Consider the following 8,337-nt stretch of genomic DNA (forward strand, 5'->3'; position numbering starts at 1 on the left):
TCATAAGAAACACTTGTGCCTGGGTCTTGACTGCCCTCAGCAGTCCTTCTGGGTGGCATACGCAGTTTGTCAGTTTGCCAACATTCTGCATTTATGACAAACAGTTTGCTACTTACATAGCCTCCAGTGGTATACTGAGTTGATCGCAACCCTCACTCTTTCAGCCTCCAACAACAAATTCACCCCAGGACTCTGCTAGAAATATAATTCCCCACTTTGTGTGTTCAAAGACACTATATATTCCTATAAATTTAATTTTCTTGCTGACTTCATCCTTGGAGTTCTCTACATCTGCTGGAATCAGGACCAGGCCATCTCTAGGCAGTTGCACAGCTTTTGTCCTGGGATGTCCCTGCACCATCATCCTGGGGTAGCCTTGGTCTCTCTTCTTTGTATTAGTTTCCCTGGTTTCTGCATCTCATGTTGTTTTCTTTCTTTATATCCCTGTTAAGGCAGAACACACCCATCAGTAGTTTCTTGAGGGAGGATGCAGGAATAAGTTGTCTGAGACCTTTGCTTTTTTCAACCCCTACAATTAATAATTTTCCTTTGTAGGGAAAATTAGATTGGGATTACTTTTTCTTGAGAATATTTAAATCATTGTCCCATCGTCTCCTAGCTTTCAAGATTGCAGTGAGTCATTCTGATTCCTCTTTGGCTAGGACCTACTTTTAAAGAATGAACTCTGGGGAATCTTCTTTCTCCCTTTACTCTGGAATTTCACTGGGAAGGTCCTTCTCTGGGTTTTCTCTTGTCTCTTGTGCTGGGCACTCAGTAGGCTTTTCAATCTGAAAATTTTTATATTTCAGTTCTGGAATTTTTTCCTGAATCATTTATTTGATTTATATGTTTATTAATTTTCTTTGTTTTCTGTTTTTGGAATTCCTATTATTTACATGTTTGTCCCTTGGCTAATTCCCTAATTTTCTTACTGCTTCTCTTTTGTTGTATTTCCAAGCTCTCCTTTTCAGCTACTTTCTGAATAATTTCTGCAACTTTACTTTCTACCTTCTCTGTAAGGCTTTTTTTTGCCTTTCTGCTATTGCATTTTTAAATTCCAAAATCTCTCTTTTGTCCCAGAATGTTCCATATTTGTAATATCCTTTTTTTCATGGTTGTTTTATCTTCTTTCATCTGTCTGAAAAATATGGATTTTTGATTTGTTTTCTTTTCTCTGCAATGTCTATGTTTCTTACCATTTCTTTTCCCTGATAGATTCGACCATTTTCTTTTTTGTTTTCTCTTTGGTTGATTGTATTTCCTTGTGGAAGATTTTCAGTGACCTGTCTGGTAGGTACAAGTCTGGCTGACTCTGTTCTGGGATCTGAGTTGGGAAAGGGGATGAGAGTATCATCATTCCATGAGTAGATTTTTCACTTAATCTAGCAATGTTCAGTTTGGCAGCCCTGCTCCTATGCCCAGTGCCCCCTAGAATCCCTCAATTCACGCTATTCAGAGAGAACATTTTCTAACTTTTGTTGAGATTGGACAGGGTATCTAACGTCTTTTTAAACAGATTTTTAACCAATCACCTCTGCCTTCACACTCCTTTAAGAGGTACCAGGTAACTTTAATTTCTGAACACTTCTGGAATTTGAGGTATGCACTGGCTAGCTTTTGGGCCTCCCTCCCCAGCCAGTCTCGGTTTTCGATTTTTCAGGTTTGCTAAATCATTTACCACTTATCCATCTGATTTCTAGCTTCTCAAATTGTGTTGCTGTTGTTTCCTCTCTTGTTCTGTTTGTCCTTGAGGATTTATGCCTTTAAAAATGCTACACATTTATTTTAGAGGAGTTTAGAGAAGGAAATCAGGTTAAAAATGTGTGTTTAATCTTCCTTTTTAAACCTGAAGCCCATCAATTTAATCAGTTAAGGGGAGACTTAAAAGAGGGGCAGAAATGACACACCAAATAGAGCAGTGAAAGTAAAACTGAGACAGAAAGGAGGAAGCAGTCACCAAGAGGACATACAAAAGTGGGGAGAAGGAATGAGACCTAGACTGAGGAAGGGCACAGCAGAGACGTTCATGTCTAAAACATTGACTTGATTCATTCATTTCTTTATTCATATATTCTCTCATGCAATGGAAGTTTCTCTTGAGCCATTGTGTTAGGAACTCTGATAGATGTTGCAGATACCAAATATATGAGTGGAAGGTAAATCAGCAATTGTTACTAATTCCTAACAGTTACTGAGCCCCTAAAGGGCTTATAGTCTGCTATCTTCAGATTATTTCAACTCAAAAATATTTATTCAGAAACTAGTGAGAGTCAGGCATTCTTCTATGTGATAAAATACTATTAATTTTATTCTGTAACAGCCTCTAATGTGTTGATTTGTTGATTACTCACTTCTCACATCTCTTTTGGTGTTCATTATTGTTAAAACCAAAACAGATTCCAACAATAATGTCTGTGGAATCCATTCAAAGGTGAATATGTAGTGTTATGCATTTGTATTCTTATGCTAATATGCTTGTATCTATAGTGTGACCATAAAGTAATAAAGAGATTTCTTGTGTTACTTACAGACCTCTATCTCTTAACTTGCGGTTACTTACAGAATATTTGAATATTTTCAAGAGCAACTAGGTAGACCTCATGAAAAGACTTTTACATACTGAAGTATTCATATGGCTAAATCACTGGAGATTTAGAACAACTTATGGTTACAAAATTAGGTAACAAAATAGATTAAATGTATCAAATGTCTACCATGTGTCAGACACTCTTTTAAGTGTTGTACCTGTATTAACTCATCTATTCTTCAAAGTAAAGGAGGTTCTATCTTTATCCCCATTTTAGAGCTAAGAAAACTGAGATAGAAGATTAAAAGACAATTGGAGAAGACATTTGTAGAGTACCTATACAATTTCCTCTATTGGAATTGATCCATCTGTTTTGACTGTTGACCTCATGGATGGTCACTGAATGAGCATCTGAAAGACCTCCTTAAGAAAAGATCCCAGAAAACTGCAGTGGTATCCAGGGAGGCTGGCAGGCTTGCTAGGTTTTTGTTTACTCATTTGTTTGTTTGCTTTAGGGTTAGATTCATATTGATGACTGAGTAGCTTGATAAGCGTAGGAGGACTAAAAAATTATGAACCTTTGAAATGTTTAGAACATTTAAAGAATAATTTAGTGTGTCAGAGATTCTCAGCCCATTATTCAAAACAACTTATCAGCAGATTTTAAGGGGAAGGAACTGTTTGCATTGCTATTATACAAAGAGGCCTTTAAATAATTGTTGCTGGTGCTCAAAATATCTGTTTAAACTCAGTTTATATATTTCTACATATTCTACTATCATTTTCTCATAAAGCTTATTAGTGATCATGATTACAAATGAAGATGTAGTTCCTACTGCTACTGATTTTGGCTTTATTTGCTTGTATTATCACTATTTATAGTAATCAATGGTCATGCAGGCTACTAGCTGGTGATAGTCCATTCAAGCGGCTAAGAAAATCACAATGGCAAATGCATTGCTTTCTGGTTAAATGAGGCAGTACAAATGAGTCATTAGTTATAGCCTCCTAGATAACATATGGTTCCAAGGAATCTCTGTTTAACCTCCAGTTTCAAAAGATTATTCAGAATTTCTTCCCTTCCTTGGTGGCTAGTCTGTAGAATAAAAACTAGTCTGAGTTTGAAACATAAATCCATAGCTTATGTGGTGCATAAAAATGTGTTAGAAGGTTTATTAATCAGGGGGTTTCTGCACTGGTGGGTAATGTTTTTTGCATACTCTTAGAAATCTGTCATTCTCTTATACACTAATCTCTGTGTGTGTTTAAAGTGGTCATCTTAGGCTTGCTAGGGTTAAGATCACTTCCATTGGTATTTTCATCTGTAAACACCAATAGTAAACTATCCCTATTTGCGAGTCAGTGTTTAAGTAGCCTAATAATTAGACCATACTAAAAAGGATCTAGGATTTTGTATATGCCATTGCATCTAAACTCTATCACCTTTCTTACATAAACCAGGTCAGTTTGTGTATCTCCCATTTTTTTTTAAAACTAACTTTGTGACCTCAAACAAGTTTCCTAGCCATTCAAGGCCTCACTTTTATCATGTGTTAAATGGAGATGATAACGTATCTGTCTTATAGGATTATGTGAGAATTAAAGAAAGTAGAATTAAGGCAAATAAAACATTATTGGGCCGTAGGAATCACTTAATAAACATTACTTCTGTATTACTCCCAATTTAAAAAGTGACAATTTACTTTCAACTGACATGTTTATTTTGAACATGAAAATACACAAAAATAGTCCCTTCTTTAATATTCGCCTTGAAGTGCATTCTGGATGTTTATTCTGTGCTTTCATGCCAGTTCTCTGTGGTAAGAGGCAGAGATGATTCAACCTGAATAAAACAGCCTTGAGGGTTTGTGGAATCCAGTATTAATGATTCAAGCTCCTATCATTACACAGTTGCAGAGATAGCAAAAGTTGTCATTACGTGAAAACCTTCCTCTGTTGAACTGAAATCTTATGAGTCCTGTTTCTTGCATCTTCCTGAATACAACACAAGCAACCACCCCCATCCATTGTAAAAATATCTGTGTAGAAGAGCCTTGTGGAATGTCAGGTACTGTAAGCATCTGGAAATTCAAATGCAGATAGAGTAGAAATCAATTGCAAAATGAAATCTCCTATCTTAGTGGAAGGAGTTTAGAGTTTATGAAATTAATAAAAGTGGTTAGTCAAATGAAAAGTCACTGATAGTTGAAAATATAGTAGACTTAGGCTATTTGATAATTGAAGAGAAATGAAGCAATGGATTAAAATAATCATTTGAATACAAAAGGATTAAAAGACCCTTGAGAAAACTGAAGGAGCTCTCAATTTTTTTCATGAAGCATGTCTCTTTATTATCAACTTGCAAGAGTCAAGTATAAATTAATTAGTACTTTTGTTTGAAAAAAATCACGCTCAGATACTTGATTTAGTTCTAAGAATTAGTGCACAGTTACAGTTACAATAAAATAAGTGGGTTAAATATGAGATAATAAAGGAATTTCTATAATTTGAGTTCCTTTTTTTCAGTATATAGTTCCAAGCAAATCTTATTAATGTCTTTTCAATGGATTCACATTTAACAAAGACCTTTGTGAAATATCTGCCATCTTTTAGGTAAAGCAGACATCCAATACAAGCTTCTAACATATTTCTTGGAGCCTATCTGCATAGTCAGAAATTATGCACCCCGAAATTCTTCCACACGGTTTATTTAAACAATTGCTGAGAGTGAAAAGAAAATTCATTTTGTTCTTGTGCTTCTGGATTCTTAAGTACCATCTTCCTGTACTTTCAATTTAAATTACCCTCAGATAGTTTTTCACCCCTGCCTTAACATGCCAATTAATATTCTGGCTATTACTATGTCACTCGCCTCAGAAGAAAGTTTCTGTCAAGCCCAAATTAAGTTACTGAAGATATGAAATTAAAACAAAACAAAATCATGGCTAAAAAAATATAAACCTTAACAAATAGTAAATTCCTGCTGAAGGCAGAAATAAAATGTACTCTATTTGAGATCAAAATTTACTATTACTTTGCAAGAATGTCAATTCCCAGTTCAGCTCTAGTCAAGTGTATGAAATAAATCGTTTCAGAATTTCAATGTTAATTCCTCTAGCACATACTGACGAAAGGGGAAAAAAATAACTATTATCATAAAGTTTCTGTTTAGGTGATTCCGTAGTAAGTTGATGATGATCACAGCTATGTTGCTTTTTGGAAGCTTGGAAATGTTTGTGCATGGAATGCAATTGGTAATTAATCAAGGAAGTGATATCTCATTAGGTTTCTAAAACTCACTGTTCTACTTGTATGCTCAATGCAATCCTGTCTTTTTCCTTCCAGAACCTGACTCCAAAAACCTCTCTAACCACTCTGTCTTTCCCAGTTTCTGCTATAGCCACCACTTTTCTTCCTTCTTTTCTTCCTAGGTTCTCTCTCTTAGTCATTTCATCCACTCCCATAATTTTAACTCACACATCTAGGCAGATGGCTCTTAGATTTGTATTTATAGCACCATCTTACCTTCCAAGCTCAATCTCACATTTCTAACTATCTGCTAGACATTTGCACCTAAATGCACCACCAAACTCAAAATGTCTAAAATTTAACTCATTTTCTTACTTCCACCTCCTCCTAATTTTCGTTTTTGTAGATGGTAACCACATTCCTCCAACTGTACACTCTGAAAACTTACAAAGTATGCTTGGACCTTCTCTTCCCTTTCTTTACATTCCCATTGTCACCAAATCCCATCAATCCGATCTTTAAATCGACTCAATTCCACAAACCCATCTATTGGACACCTCTTAGAGCCACAGTTCTATGCTAGAAAATAAGGGGTAAATAAACTTATCAAAAACAAGACATAAATCCTGTGCTCAGGGACCTTGCAATCTAGCAACTGAAATAAGATTTGGACCCAAACTATTCTCAGAGCAACCAGATTAATTTTCCTCTCATACCTACAATAATAGCTTTGGTTAGTTGATTAGTTTACTGTGTACCAACTGCTATTCTAAACACATTTCATCCATTATTTCACTACTCCCCACAATTCTATAAAGTAGATATTAATGTTATTCCCCTTACAGATGAGAAAGCTGAGGCATAGAGAGATTTAAATATTTTTTCCCAAGGACACAGAGTTTATAAATGAAAGATCCAAGGACTGAACCCTGGAGTCTGGTCCGGAGACCAATCTCTGAACTCCTGCTCCCTGGTGCCTGCCCCCACACCTCTTCACCCTGTCCTTCCCCAGCCACAGATGACAGGGAAGGTCCCTGACCCCAAAAAGCTATACTGTTGGCTGGACAGTTACTTATTATTTATGTGACTTGGTTTGAATAGATGAACTGGACCTTGTTGAGGTTTTTCTCTTGAGAATTTAAAATAGAAAACAGCAACTACTGCCATTTACACCGATGCTTGAGATATTGGACTTCTGTTTTCTAATTCTGATATACTTGACATGCTTTTGAACTGAAAACTTAAATTGAGATTAAAATAACTGTTGGTTCACACCATTTAATGTAAAATGATTTGTGGATGCTTTTAAATAACCTTTAAATATAATTTAAATATTTATGTCAATATCGGTTTTTCCTTCCAAACTCTTTACCTTTTTTTTTTTTGTAGTTTTGTTTTGTTTATTTGTTTTCTGTAAAACTTTCTACCTTCTTAATATCCTTTTTGTTATTCCCCTTTTGTTTTCCCTCTGGTAGCTTGTCAACTTTAGATTTTTAGTTTTAGCTAGTATCTAAAATTTAATATTTGAGGTGTCTGCTTTGACACATCTGTGTTATTCTCTTACCAATCCAGATTTACTAGTCCAGAATAGAACCCTTCCTGGGTTACTCAGTTACCCTCACTATTTATTTGATTTTACCTTTCTTTTTTTTTTTATGTTTCTGCAAACTTTTACCAATTACTTATGCCACAATTGAAGCACTTTACATTTATCTAGATTATTTGGGCTAATTCCAATTTCTTTTATACACTTTTAAATACAATTTTCTATTTGTTCAAAATTTCACTATTTTGTACTCTTTTTGAAGATTCTTGAAAGAGAATATTAGCCACTTTCAATAATTATGAATTTAAAATTAATTTTCAATAAAGTTTAATTCAAAAATCCAATTTAAATTTAATCAAAATATAATTTGAAATTAAAAATTTAAATTACAAGTATCTGAATATTTGAATCAATATCATATGAATATAATTATCTGAATAGCTGAATTAATGTTTTAAGTTAAATGTTAAATTAATATTAAACAGTATCTGAAAGGAATTAGAATTATCTCAAATAATCCTGTATTAAAATTTATTATATTTCATTCAGTCTTTAAAAACCAGGAAACTCTGCAATACATGATAACATGGATGAACCTTGAGGACATTATGCTAAGTGAAATAAGCCAGGCATAGAAAGCCAAATACTGCATATTTCCACCTACCTGAGGCATAGAAAAGTGCTCAAAATTTACAGAACCAAAGAATGAAATGGTGGTTTCCAGGGGCTGTGGAAAGGCGAAATGAGAGTTATCAATTAAGGGGCATAAAGTTTCAGTTAGGCAAGATGAATAAGCTCTAGAAATCTGCTATACAACTTTGTATCTATAGTCAAGAATCAGGTATTGTAGACTTAAAAACTTAACTGTTCTTGTCACAATAAAATAAAACTGAAAATTGAATGAAATAATGTATTTTTGATTCTTACTAATGAAATATACTTTTCTAAATACTTCATTATTGGTAATAAAAATGGAACATTTTTGCTCAAGCTATTGAAACATTCTTGTTAAATT

At 34.3% G+C, this 8,337-nt stretch overlaps 1 annotated feature.

Moving 5' to 3' along the window:
• Nucleotides 1,869–1,968: an enhancer, noted in NCBI's record as "active region_7715". NCBI's record gives its function as "activates an Ori minimal core promoter by ATAC-STARR-seq in GM12878 lymphoblastoid cells {active_cell/tissue: GM12878}" and the evidence as "EXISTENCE:reporter gene assay evidence [ECO:0000049][PMID:35858748]".

This window comes from Homo sapiens, chromosome 13 (genome assembly GCF_000001405.40).
Source record: "Homo sapiens chromosome 13, GRCh38.p14 Primary Assembly".
NCBI classification, from domain to species: Eukaryota; Metazoa; Chordata; class Mammalia; order Primates; family Hominidae; genus Homo; species Homo sapiens.